General features: G+C 37.8%; 1 protein-coding gene across 4 annotated transcripts in view; it reads right to left on the bottom strand.

The window, feature by feature from the left end:
- MAGED1 (MAGE family member D1) overlaps positions 1–9823 on the bottom strand; it is a 99279-nt gene extending 89456 nt beyond the window's left edge. For all 4 annotated transcript variants that reach the window (XM_011530835.3, XM_047442676.1, XM_047442677.1 and 1 more), the window contains exon 1: positions 9782–9823. The gene's annotated coding sequence lies outside the window, so the exon portion shown is untranslated. The remainder of the gene's footprint in view (positions 1–9781) is intronic.

Genomic DNA, 14730 nt, shown 5'->3' with positions numbered 1-14730 from the left:
GGAGAAATTGGAACCTTATACATTCCTGGTGGGAATTTAAGTGGTAGAGCCATTTTGGAAAAGAGTTTGGCAGTTCTTCAAAGAGTTAAGTATAGAGTTACTATCAATTTCACTCCTAGGCATATACCCCAGAGAAATGAGAAGAACATATGTTTGCACAAAAACGTATACCAGAAGTTCACAGCAGCATTATTCATAATAGCCAAAAAGTAGAAACAACTCATCTGTCCATCTACAATCTGATGAATGAATACATAAAAGGTGGTATACTCATACAATGGAATATCTTTCAGCCATGAAAAGGAATGGAAATACTAAGACATGCTATAATATGGATAAACTTTGAAAACACTATGCTAACTGGAAGAAGTGAGACACAGAAGGCCACATATTTCAAGACTCTAGTTATATGAAATGTTCAGAATAGGGAAATTCAGAGAGACAGAGAGTATATTAGTGGTTGCCATGGGCTGGGAGAATGGGGACACCATTTATAAAACTATTCCTTTCCATTTGCCCCTTTTCCTTAGCTTTACTAGACCACAGAGTAACCTCTAAATTGCCCATTATTTTAGGTACTTTCAAGCTCAAGGCTAAATGGCATATCCAGTCAGCTACTTTACATCGTCTAAATGACCAATGACCACTTGCTCTCTGGTCCCACTCACAGCTTTTTTTTGTCAAAATTCAGTTTTTTATTTATTTATTTATTTATTTATTTTTATTATTATACTTTAAGTTTTAGGGTACATGTGCACTTAATATGGTCTCTTCTAGGAAGCCTTCTCTGAGCCCTTAAGGTAGGTTAGAGGTCCTTCCTCTATGTCTCTACTGCCAGCACCACACCTTGGTCTCTCCTCTAGCATAGCACCGCTGTTGCAATGTCTATGTCTACCTCACTCAGTTGAAAACATGTTTAAGTCAATTACATGTTCTCATTATCCAGCTAGTCATCAGTATGTTTTTAGTTAATTGACTGATTAATTAATTAATGATCTGTCTTTTCTAAGACTTATCAATCCATCCTAAGGCTTGCAATCTATCTTCCCCCCACTGCTCTCCCATCACATCTGACGTTCTCAGACAGTGTATGTTTTCCTTTCTCACCTTCTCTGACTCCCCGCTTGTTCACTCATACTTCTTGCCTTTCAGGACTCTGGGAACATATTATTCTTATAATAAAGAAGACAAATAGAGAGAATGAAAAGTAGTAATCTACTCCCACTTCCCCTTTAATCTACTGTTTCACTGCTCTCCTTCCCACCTGGAATCTTTTCTTTGTGACCTCTAGAATCCCCCTTAAAAAATAAGCTTCCCCACATTCTTCAATGATTTCTAGAACACCCCTTCACCTCCTGGCCACATATGAGATGTGGTTCCTTCCTAAGCCTAGTGATTCTCCCACACTCACGGTCCCAAAATTCCCAACTGGTAAACCATAGCACTCCGGTAAACCACAAACCTGTGTTTAACATACTATTCATGCAGTATCTGTCAGATGGATAGCCTCAGGTGCAACATGCTGTAAAATGTAACAGGTATAGTATAATGTCCAATTGGTAATAAAGAGAGATGACATGTTTTCTGGAACAACTTTGCCTTGTGAGTATGTAAGGGGCTGTAATTATGGTATTAAACGGGTTGACACAAATAGCAGCCAAAGAATGAAGGGAGATGAAGAGCCACAATAAATATGCCACTATTTTTAATGTCATATCTTGAAAATTCAGATTCTTAACACGTATAAAGCAAAATAATAGTAAAAAATAAAGAAGCAGTGAACTAAAACACGAAATAGACATCTCCTAACTGTAACTATGCTTTAACATTAATGAAATAACTAAAAAATATGATCAGGTCCAAGAAGTACATTAAATACTAATTTTAATTAGAATTTGGATTATTTCATTATCAGATTTAAAATAAAAATCAACAACACATACATACAACATTTTACATCTTCATGTCTGTGGTAAATAGACTATTTTGTCAATCTTCTGAAAACTGAAAAACTTACACAATTATGTTCCCATCATAACCAACTACATATATGCCTTTCCTTGACTATATCAAGATTCCCCCCTACTTCTTCCAGTTTGCTGAATGGAACACTCTTCATTACTCTTCTACCTTCATACCTCATTTACTCACCAGTATCAAGCATTATCTTCCCTTTCCAAAGCATTTTGGGATGTCCTCTCTGTGCTCCTATAGCCCATTTGCCTATGCCCAGAGTATGCTCAGTGTCTAAAGAGTATGAACACAGTACTGTTCACTGCTCTTTAGACACTGCGTATTTGCTCATATCCACACTAGAATGAGTCTTCTCCAAGGACAGGAGACCAGTCAGGTTTACCCTCACATTCCCTGTGCCCAGCATAAGACCAGATACATGATAGTAAGCATTCTATAAATTTTGGCTGAATGAATGACTACATAAACAAATGAAAGCCATGTTTAGCGAATTTTCAATAAAATGCTGCAAGAGTCATTCCAATGTATTCACAATAGCAGGGAAAAGAGCACAACTAAAGATCAGGTAGCATGACTTTTAAAATAATAATCCCCTGAGTATTCCCATCTTAGTTTCTAAATACCAAGGTTCACTGAAAAATTACATAGTTCCTTGTAAAATGGCTAATTCCAGGGGTGGGGCAGGGAGTGTACATGATGAGCCTAAAATAGCTTATGCCAAAAAGCAAGGACGCCAACAAAGACTAACGAGATAATGTGAAAAAAAACATAGAAGTGAAAACAGAAGGGGCTCCTAATTTATAAGATGACACTGTTTAAGCATTAAAAAATGACCACAATGGGTTGATACACTTAAAATACATAAAAATCCATGAATTCTTAATGATATTAAAGAAAACAGTGGCGGTTGCTAAGAAACCAACTCATTACTATGAACACTGATAAATGAAAAAAAGCAGCAGCGGCAGCATCATTTATCTTGATTATTATGAAATATACTTCAGGACAAAAAATAGCTGATAAGGAAAAAGTCTTCTTTATAAAGTAATTCCAGTTAATAATGCAGAAAGATTGAAAGAATTAAATATCACCATTTTTCAACCTCTACAGAAATAATGAATCTAGGCAATTATCATCAATGGCTGCTAAAACCAACAGAAGAAAGGTTGGTGGGAAAAGCTACAATGGAGAGATCAGCCCGACAAACACCCTGAAATGACAAATCAATCCCAGCATCAATTAAAAAAAAGATAAAATTAGACATGATAAAATACAATAGAAAGTAAACAGCACTGCCTAAAATGAGTCTTTCTCTTAAAAAATAATCAAAATTGAATCTAATCAAGCCTCTAGCTCTAAATGTCAGTAAATAGGAAACACGAGGATGAGAAAACAAAATAAATGCCACCTCAAGGAAGCAATCATCTAAATCCAGATGAGACAGTCTATAGAACTAATGACGTAGTTTCTTGAATTAATCAACGATCTTTCAAAAAGGAGACTAAGGGGCCGGGCGCGGTGGCTCACGCCTGTAATTAATCCCAGCACTCTGGGAGGCAGAGGCGGGTGGATCACAAAGTCAGGAGGTCGAGACCATCCTGGCTAACACAGTGAAACCCCGTCTCTACTAAAAATACAAAAAATTAGCCAGGCATGGTGGCAGGGGCCTGTAGTCCCAGCTACTCGGGAGCCTGAGGCAGAAGAATGGCGTGAACCCGGCAGGCGGAGATTGCAGTGAGCAGAGATCGCGCCACTGCACTCTAGCCTGGGCGACAGAGCGAGACTCCGTCTCAAAAAAAAAATAAAATAAAATAAAATAAAAAGGGGACTATGCAAGGGCTTTATAAGGCTTAAGAGAAAAACATCCATTGGCAATAAATGGTCCTTGTTTGGATACTGACTTAACAAAGCTACTGTATAACTATAACTTTAAGACAATTCACCAGGCACAGAGCAAGACTCCGTCTCAAAAAAGAGAAAAAAGAAAGAAATTATTATTTATCTTACTAAGTATAATAATGACGTGGTGGTTACTTAATGCACCTATGAATTAGAGATACATACTGAGTTATTCACCTGTGTAATGACATATCTGGGATGTGGAAAAAAATGGGTGAGAATAGATAAAACAAAACTTGCCAGTTTTGGCAAAATGTTGTTAATTATTGAAGCTGGGGAATGGATACATTCATGTTTATTTTACTATTTTTTTTTCTAAGGCAGGGTCTCACTCTGTCGCCCAGGCTGGAGTGCACTGGTGCAATCACAGCTGTCTTCAGCCTCAAACTCCCCAGCTCAAGCGATCCTCCCCCCTCAGCCTCCCAAGTAGCTGGGACTACAAGCACATGCCACCATGTCCAGCTAATTTTTAAATTTTTTGTGGAGATGGGGTCTCACTTTGTTGCCCAGGCTGGTCTAAAACTCCTGGGCTCAAGTTGTCCTCCCACCTCGGCCTCCCAAAGTGCTGGGATTACAGGGGTGAGTCACCATGCACAGCCTATTTTACTATTTTCTACTTTGAATATATTTGAAAATGTATGTAACAAAAGAGAAAAGACACAGAAGCCAATGTGAATGTGAATGGGCTCCCACTTGACATGATTGGACAGTTGGAACAACAGAAGAAATAATGACTGCAATGGATTGAAAAGTACTAAATATATAAATATTCACAAGTTCAACAAAGGAGAGAAAATAACACCAATAAAATCCCCAAAAACTTAACAATACATTAATCTAGGTTGGATGATAGTTTTAAATACCAGCTTACAAAGGCTTATTGAGGAAAATAAATTTGAAAAGATTAGGTATTTGTTGATATTAGGGAATCATTAATTTTCCTTAGTGAGATAATGGTAATTAATTACTACAAAGTAATGCTAATATTAGGAGATGAATGCTGAGATATTTAAGGGTGACGTGCCATGATATCTGCTCCCTAAACTGATCTGTTAGATGGTATCTCAATCAGAATGCCAAGAAGAATGTTTGTAGAAATTGACTAGCTCTAAAACGTATAAGGAAAAAGACCAGGAATAACCAAGGCATTATTGAAGAAAAAGAACAAAAGTGTAAGACTCACATAACCATACATAAGGCATGTTGTGAAGTTACATTAATTAAGACAGTGGTATTCATACAAGGATAGACAAACCAAACTGAACAGAATTCAGAACTATATCAAATTATTGATTTATATATTTGAGTTAATGAAAAGGATGGCACTACAAAAGGGAAAGAATGATCTTTTCAATAAGTGGTTTGGGGTTGACTGAATGTCACTTCAACAACAAAAAAAGGGCCTTTACATATACCCATACTGACAATATACACAAAAATCAATTACAGATTATAAACATAAATATGAAAGGTTAAACAATAACACAGCCTAGGAAACTATCTTCATGGCCTTGGGAAATATAAAAGTTTCCTAATCAGTACAAAGAAGCACTAACCATAAATGAAAAAAAATAATGAACGGAATGATATTAGAATTCAGATATTCAGTTCATCAAAAGACACCATGAAGAGACTGAAGATACAAGCCACTGAGATTTGTAATACATATATCTGACAAAGCATTCACATCCTTAATATAGAAAGAGCTCCTATAAATCAATAAAAAAAAGTTAGCCCAGGAGAAAAAGTAGTCAAAAGATTTGAACAGGCACCTCATAAAAAATATCCAAAAGACTAACAAACTTATGGAAAGGTCCATCATCAGAGAAATGCGAAATAAAACCACAGTGAGATACCATTCATAACCATTAGAATAGCTACCAAGACAAAGGCAAGTGTTGGCTATATTCTAGAGCAACTTCCACTCTGAAAAATTTCTGGCCAGGTGCAGTGGCTCAGGCCTGTAATCCCAGCACTTTGGGAGGTGGAGGCTGGAGAATCACGAGGTCAGGAGTTCGAGACCAGCCTGGCCAACATGGTGAAACCCCATCTCTACTAAAAATACAAAAAATTAGCTGGGCGTAGTGGTGGTCACCTGTAATCCCAGCTACTCGGGAGGCTGAGGCAGAAGAATCACTTGAACCCGGGAGGCGAAGGTTGCAGTGAGCTGAGATCACGCCACTGCACTCCAACCTGGGCGACAGAGCAAGACTTTGTCTCAAAAAAAAAAAAAAATTATGTTAGGAGTCTTCTCGTACAATCACCTTGGAAAGCTGGCTGGCAGTATTTACTAAAATTAATCTTATACATAACCTGTGATTCAGCAATTCTACTCTTAGGTATATGTCCAACAGAAATGTGTGAATATATCACCAAAAGACATGTACTAGAATGCTCACAATACTATTTGCAAGCTGAAAATGAAAACAACAAAAATGTCATCTACAATAAAAGGATAACTACATTGTGGTACATTCATACAATGGAATAGCAATGAAAATAGAGGAATTACTACTACACTCAATAATATGGATGAATCTCAAAAACAAATCCTCAAGCCAAAAAATTAACACAAACTGTGTTACTTTTTAAAGTTTAAAAACAGACAAAATTATTATTATACAATGACAGAGGACAGGATTGTGATTAATTTGGAATAGTAACAAATAAGGGATACATTTAGGGGCTTTCAAAATTTCCCGATCTTGATGCTGGTTACACAGCCGAGTTCACTTTGTGAGAATGCTTTGAGCTGGCCGGGCGCGGTGGCTCACGCCTGTAATCCCAGCACTTTGGGAGGCCCAGGCGGGTGGATCACGAGGTCAGGAGTTCGAGACCAGCTTGGCCAACATGGTGAAACCCCGTCTCTACTAAAAGTAAAAAAGTTAGCCAGGCATGGTGGCATGTGCCTGTAATCCCAGCTACTCGGGAGCCTGAGGCAGGAGAGTCGTTGGAACCCAGGAGGTGGAGGTTGCAGTGAGCCAAGATTTCACCACTGCACTCCAGCCTGGGGGACAGAGCAAGACTCCATCAAAAAAAAAAAAAAAAAAAAAAAAAAAAGAAAAGAAAAGAAAATGCTTTGAGCTGTACACTTAGGACAATGTGCACTTTTCTGCATGTATTTACATTTACTTAAAATAATGCCTGCAAGTGTCAAATGGTTCAGCCAAAATAGATAAAAAAATAGATAGATGGATGGATAAATGGATGGATGGACGGATGGACGGATGGATGGATGGATGGATGCATGGAGAAAGAGAGTGAGTAATAGAGAGAGTGAGCTAATATGGCAAAGGTTAACAGTTGTTGAATCTAGGTCCAGAATATAAAAGTTTTCATTGTACTCTTCTTTCAACTTCTGCTTGTTTAATTTTTTATTTAAAAATATTCTGGTAAAAAGAGGCATTATTCATGCCTCTCAGAGCTTAATATTTATAATTAGGGAGTAATTCAAGCACCTGATATGATCTAAGTTGTGAAAGAAGCACAAAAAATAAAATTTCTATACCCGGATTGTCTTATAAAATAATAAAATATTCTGTATATTTTTTATTTCTCATTAAGAAACAGATAGAGAGAACCAGACCAGGACTGAGTGCCTGAAAAACCTTAACTCCATAAACTGTACCACAGTTTAGCAAGTTACTACATACCTCCTAGTCTTGGTTTTAGCATTAGTAAAATGACAATGATAATACTGACCTTAGAGAATAGTGTTGAACATTAGGGGGAAAGCCATATTTAAAAGTTTTATCTTTTATAAACAAGCACTGAATTCATTTCACTTTACCGTACCAAATATTTATGGACAACATATTATGAACACAAAGTGGTAAGAGCAGCGAGAGAGATAATCAAATATCCTGTAGGATAGCACACAATGCACCAGCAATCAACAAACTGAGGATGAGGTGAATATGGAGATAGTGATATGTCTTCCTAAAGAGGCTGACAAGTCGCCTAAATGGTAGCAAGAAGCTAGCCAGGAGGAAGAGAATATGAGAAATTAATGTGAATGGATCAGGTTATTTGAGTATGCAGAGCGTTGAATTAATGCTATGCAGAAAAGTGACCACTAGGGGAATGGGAAGGTGGCCGCGGGTTAGGAAACAGAGTGAACAAATGCAAAGACTATGACATAAATCCTGTTTTCCCATTAATATCTGCATAGTGTGTGCCCTCAGTTCCTTCAGGTTCCTGCTCAAATATCACCTTACCAGTGAAGCCTTCCTGCCCATCCTATCTAAAATAGTAGAACCCGTCCACATTACAACCTATTACATATTTATTTCTTTTTTTGTTTTTTTCTTTTTTATTTCTTCATGTATTTTTTTGTTTCGTTCATTTAACACCAGTGCCACTTGCCAATATATATTGTTTATATATTAAGTTATTGTCTGTCTCCCAGCTATAGTTTAAAAGACTTTGTTTTTGTTATCCACTGTTGTATCTCCAGTGCTGAGAACACTGTCTGGCAAATAAAAATTATTCAATAAAAAATTATTGAATGAATGGATGGATGCACAGTGGGTTGAAACAAGTGTGATATTTAAATGCTGTGTAATAATGATTTGAATAGAGTATAAAGAGACATCAGCAATACTCTTTCCTAAGTGTTTTGGTGTCACAAAAGCTCTGCCTCATTGTTTATTCTTAAATAAAAACTATACATGGCCTAGAAAAGATAATCACCCCTTAGTCTGGCAAGCATAACACACAGGAAGGAGTCCACTGCTTATTCAAAGAGAACTTTGGTTAAATTCCTCGTTAGATCCTGATAGAGCCTGGAAAACTCTGATTCTCAGCATAAATTTAATGATCATTTCGGTACTGTGATTATTATTTAATAACTAATGTTCTCACAAGATAAATTTGACATGGTAACAAATGTAATAGAAAAGTACATTTCACATTGCAACAAATAGATTGTGTAATACTTGCAAAGCTCTCAGAAAAAGTCTTCGTCTGCAAAATGTCAGCTTGCTGTTTAATGTTGCTATCAGAGACCAGAAAAGAAATTGCATAATAAACTCAACTCATATAAAGTAATAAATTTGTGACTGGATGCCATTCCTGTCAACCATTTCACTGCTAAGAGAAGTTTTACAGGGGATGGGAAAGCTTACGCTGAAGCTGAAACCAGGTTACAGGTATAATCCACTATGTTTGCCCCCCAAAATCTGAGGATTCAATTCTATGGCAACATAAAAAAATAAATGCAATGTGTAGAAGACTGAAACCTGTGCAATAGTATCTAAATGATGTGTAATTTTGTTTAGAGTTAAAAAAAAAAAAAAAAAAGAACATCATTTGGACAAGTGCCTATGCCTCTTAGGGCTCTAAGGTTTCTGCTTCTTTGCTTATACTTTAAAAGAACCAAAAAAAAAAAAAAAAAAAAGCCTTGACCTTGAAGTCACACCTACTGTTGCAAAGTACGTAATTTACTGGTCTCCGCGGGAGGGGAACAGGAAAGACCAAAGGCCAGCAGGGGGAGTAAAACAGAGGGTAGGAAGGGGCTCGCAAAGAGTCGCAGGTTAACAGGATGGGGGGCAGAAGGCGGAGGTGAGAGGTAGGAGGTAGGAGTGACCTGTGGTAGAGGGAATGACGCTGGCTCAGACCAGAGAAGAGGATACGGGATAAAGAGGAGAGGTGAAGCATGACCAGGAGTCAAGCGGTTAAAGGGACCACCAGAGTGAGGAGGTGAGGCAGGAGCGGGCCCCCCATCTCCGGAGGAGAAGGGAGGAGATAGCGAGGCGATCAGAACCACAGGCGTCAGAAGCATCCTTCATACAACGCACGCGGGGATGAATTCTCCTTTCCACCCCACGTTGAGGCACAAAAGGAGGTTTCCCTGGAGTGTATGGGGATTTATTTGTGAGAATTACCAAGTCCCCTTCTTTACACTCACCTTGACGAAGAAGGCAGCAACGATGGCGTGACCGGAAGTGCTGTCCTCTTTTGTTTGGCGGAAGCTTTAGCTTCTGCAGCCGCTACCCCCTCCTTCACTTCAGGCAACTTCCTGTGCCTCTCTAGCAAGCTCTGCAATGCTCTATCTCATTGACTCCCTCCCTAGATCAACACCTACGTTGTGATGTAAACCGGCAGGGAGAGAGAATCACTAACTTTTTACAAATCCTAATTCTTGTCGTGCCAGGAGCTGCAGTATCTCTGCCAAATCCCTCATGTACAATTCGCCACCTCTCCTTGTTGATTCGCCTTAGAAATATCTCCCTTCATCTTAGTCCCTTAACTCAGGCCTCATTTTCTCTGTCTTGGATGTCTACAGTTACATATTTACCAAACTGATTTACTGTTTTCTGGCACACCACTTTTAAAAAGTTCATTTGTATTAGCGGTATACTTCAATTTCAAGCTTTTTACAAAAATCTTCAATCTAAATCATTTTTGCTTTGAGATCGTATCCAGAGTTACATACCATATTCAAATATCCAAAGAATAAACGTGGACTCATTTAGAAAGCATTCTTGCATTATTTTACATACTCCCCAAGAAAAGGAAGAAAATGAAAACTGAAAAAAAATGTTTCAATAATAAAAATCCGTACTCTGGTTAAATACTTTCAGAACAAGTTTAGAACTGAATTATTTATTGCCACTACCTCCAGAAAGTTCTCCTGGCCCCCAAATCTGCGCCACAATTCTCACCACAGGGGAGGATCTCTTGTGGTTATTTTTAGTCAGTCCACAAGTATATACTGAGCACCTACCATGTCCCAAATACTATGCTACACCCAGAGACACTACACTAGGATCCCAGAGCCTAGAGCTAAAGATGACATTTAAACACTTAAGAGCCTAGCATAAAATACGTGTTTATCAATGTTTGTTAAATGAATAAATGACCAAAATGTGGTCAGAGCAAAGAAGGAAACTAGCAATAAGGTCGGTCCTTAGTTTTGCTGGTACTTTTACAATTTATTTCAACAATTTGACTCACGTTCCCCACTAAGCACTGCTTTAGCTGCATCCCACCAATCTTTATATTTTGTATTTTGATATTTTTGTATATTGATTCTAATTTAGTGCAAAATGATCTCTAATTTTACCTTTGTAGTTCCTCCTTTTTTTTTTTTTTTTGAGACAGGGTTTCACTCTGTTGTCCAGGCTGGAGTGCAGTGGCATGATAATAGTTCACTATAACCTCAAACTCCTAAGCTCAAGTGATCCTCCTGCTTCAGTCTCCCGAGTAGCTAGACTACAGAAGCACACCACCATGTCCAGCTAATCTTTTTTTATTTTTTGTAGAGATGGGGTCTTGCTTTGTTACCTAGGCTGGTCTTGAACTCTTGGGCTCAAGCAATTCTCCTGCCTCAGCCTCCCAAAGTGCCGGGATTACAGGCATGAGCCACTGTCTCCAGTGTGTACTTCCTCTTTGACCCATGGGTTCTTTAGAAATGCATGTTTAATTTCCAAGTATTTGGAGATTTTCCTGTTATTTTCCACTATTGTTTTTTTAATTCCATTATGATCAGCAAACTTACAATATATGATTTCAGTTCTTTTACATTTGTTAAATTTTGTCTTATGACTGAAGATATGGTCAATTTGGTGAATGTTCCATGTACACTTGAAAAGAATGTGAATATGCATTCTCCTGTTGTTGAGTGAAATGCTCTATAAATATCAGCTAGAGATAATTGATAATATTCAGTTATTCTGTATCCTTGGTTATTTACTATGTAAAATATTATATTAATTATTGAGAGAGGAGTGTTTATGTCCCTGATTATATTTGTGAATTTGTCTATTTGTTCTTTCAGCCTCTGAGATTTTGCTTTATATATGAGGGGTCTTCAAACTGTTCATGGAAATACATATTATAAAAAAAACTATGCCTGGATTTCAAAAATTTTTTGCACCAAAATAAACACTAACATGTCCGAACAGGATCTAGCTTGAAGCGCTATGAAGGATAGGACATCAGTTTGAACAGAGCGCCTGTGAGAGTAACATGAATTCTGCTACAATTGAAACAAGAAAAACCTCATATTTATGGTGAAGCTGGGTGGATGCATGGTGAAATCATTGATGTTTTATGAAAAGTTTACAGAGACAATGCCCAAAGAAATCAGCAGTTTATATATTTTTTTGTAGTTTTAGTAGAGATGGGGTTTCACCACATTGGCCAGGCTGTTCTCAAACTCCAAGCTTCAAGTGATCTTCCTGACTTAGCCTCCCAAAGTGCTGGGATTACGGGTGCACACATGTAATCCCAGCTACTCAGGAGGGTGAGGCACAAGAATCACTTGAACCCAGGAGGCAGAGGGTGCAGTGAGCCAAGATTGTGCCACTGCACTCCAGCCTGAGCAACAGAGAAAGACTCTCAACAAAAAAAAGAAAGAAAGAAAGAAAGAAAGAAAGAAAGAAAGAAAGAAAGAAAGAAAAAAGAAAAGAAAATTTAAAAAATGAAATCAGCAGTTTACAAATGGATAACCTGTTTTAAGAAGGGATGAAGGCCAGGTGTGGTGGCTCACATCTATAATCCCAGCACTTTGATAGGCCAAGGAGGGAAGATTGCTTGAACCTAGAAGTTTGAGACTAGCCTAGGCAACATAGTGAGACGCCATCTCTACAAAAAATTTTAAAACTAGCCAGGTGTGTTGGTGTGCACCTCTAATCCCAGCTACCCAGGAGGCTGAGGTGGGAGGATCACTTGAGCCAGGGAGGTCGAGGCTGCAGTGAGACATAATCACAAAAACTGCACTCCACCCTGTGCAGTGCCAGGGTGTCAGGTGACAGAGTGAGACCCTGTCTCAAAAAAAAAAAAAAAAAGAAGGAATGAGACAATGTTGAAGAGGAAGCTCACAGCAGCAGACTATCCACATAAATTTGTGAGGAAGAGATTCAACTTGTTTGTGCCCTAATTGAAGGGAACTGATGAGTAACAGCAGAAACAATAGCCAACACCATACACATCTCAACTGGTTCAGTTTACTCAATTCTGACTGAAAAAATAAAGTTGAGCTAACTGTCCACTCAATGGGTGCCAAAACCATTGTGCCCAGATCGGCAGCAGATAAAGAGGAGAGCTTTCAATGGAAATTTTACACAAGTGGGATCAAGATCCTGAAGCCTTTCTTCGAAGAATTATAACAGAAAATGAAACGTGGCTTTACCAGTAAGATCCTGAAAACAAAGCACAATCACAGTAATGGGTACAAAGAGGTGGCAGTGGTCTAGTCAAAGGAAAAGTAGACTGGTCAAGAGCAAAGGTAAAGGAAACAGTTTTTTGGTATACTTGAGGCATTTTGCTTGTTGACTTTCTGGAGGGCTAAAGAAAAGTAACATCTGTTTATTATGAGAGTGTTTTGAGGAAGTTAGCCAAAGCTTAAGCAGAAAAACACCCAGAAAAGCTTCACATAAACAGTGCTCCTGTTCAGTCCTCTAATCAAACAAAAGCAATTTTGAGAGAGTTTTGATGGGAAATCATTAGGCATCAACCATGCAGTCCTGATTTGGCTCTTTCAGTCTTCTTTTTGTTTCCTAATCTTAAAAAAATCTTTAAAAGGTGCTTGTTTCTCTTCGATTAATAATGTAAAAAACAAACAAACAAACAAACAAAAACCTACATTAACATGGTTAAATTTCCAGGCCCTTCAGTTCTTTAGATATGGACTAAATGGCTGGAATCTTTGCTTACAAAAGTGTTTTGAACTTGATGGAGCTAATGTTGAGAAATAAAGTTTATAGTTTTTATTTTTATCTTTTAATTATATTTTCCCACAAACTTTTTGAAGTCCCCTCGTATTTTGAAACTCTTTTGTTAGTGTACGCACATGTAGGAAGGTTATGTCTTCTTGGTGAATGGAACCTTTTTATTATTATATAATGCCCTTCTTTATTCCTGGGAATTATCTTTGCTCTGGAGTATAATTTGTCTGATATTAATATAACCACTCCAGCTTTCTTTTCTTTTCTTTTCTTTTTTTTTCTGAAGACAGGGTCTTACCTTGTTGCCCAGACTGGAGTGCAGTGTTGCAATCACAGCTCACTGCAGCCTCAAACTCCCAGGCTCAAGTGATCCTCTGGCCTCAGCTTCCTGAGTAGCTGGGACCACAGGTGTGCACCATGATGCCCAGCTAATTTGTTTTATTTTTTTTTGGTAGAGACAGGGGTTTGGCATGTTGCCAGGCTGGTCTCAAACTCCTGGGCTCAAGCTATTGGCCCTCCTCAGCCTCCTAAAGTGCTGGGATTGCAGACATGAGCCACTGCACCTGGCCCTCTATCTTTCTTTTGATTACTGCTTTCATGATATACCTTTCCATCTTTTTACTTTTAGGCTACTGATGTGAATTTCTTGTAAGCATACTTAGAAAACCTTTTTCTCCTCCAAGATTATGAACAGCTCTCCTGTTACGTCTAATGTATCAATGTTTGAATTTAAATATTTGATCCATTAGGAATTTATTCTAGATGACATATGAGGGAAAATCCCATTTTATATTTTTTTCTTCCAGGTGGTTTACTTTCTTTTTCCAAAAACATATTTTGACTGAATCTATTTTTTCCCTACTGATATGAGCAGCTAATGCAAATAACCTAAATTTATTTATCCTGCAGCTTTTTGTTTTGCCTTCCCTTTTACTGATTTCTTACTGAGTTTCACTCTACTTAATTTGAAGATATCCATTAATCTCAGCTTTTGTATGAATAAAAACACAGACTTCCAGAAAGGAAGTATCAGGTGTTCTACAGACCATCCGCACAGGGAAACAACCATAACTGCTAAAAATTATTTTTAAAACAACCATATAAAGTCTCAGAAAATTTCTCTAAAGGCATAGAACAAATGAAGAAACATTTATTCAAAAAATATAAATGTCAGTAAGAACAGTGA

Source organism: Homo sapiens, chromosome X (genome assembly GCF_000001405.40).
Source record: "Homo sapiens chromosome X, GRCh38.p14 Primary Assembly".
In the NCBI taxonomy this organism is placed as follows: Eukaryota; Metazoa; Chordata; class Mammalia; order Primates; family Hominidae; genus Homo; species Homo sapiens.
Note: the sequence above shows the minus strand (reverse complement) of the source record. Positions and strands in the feature narration are given on the sequence as shown.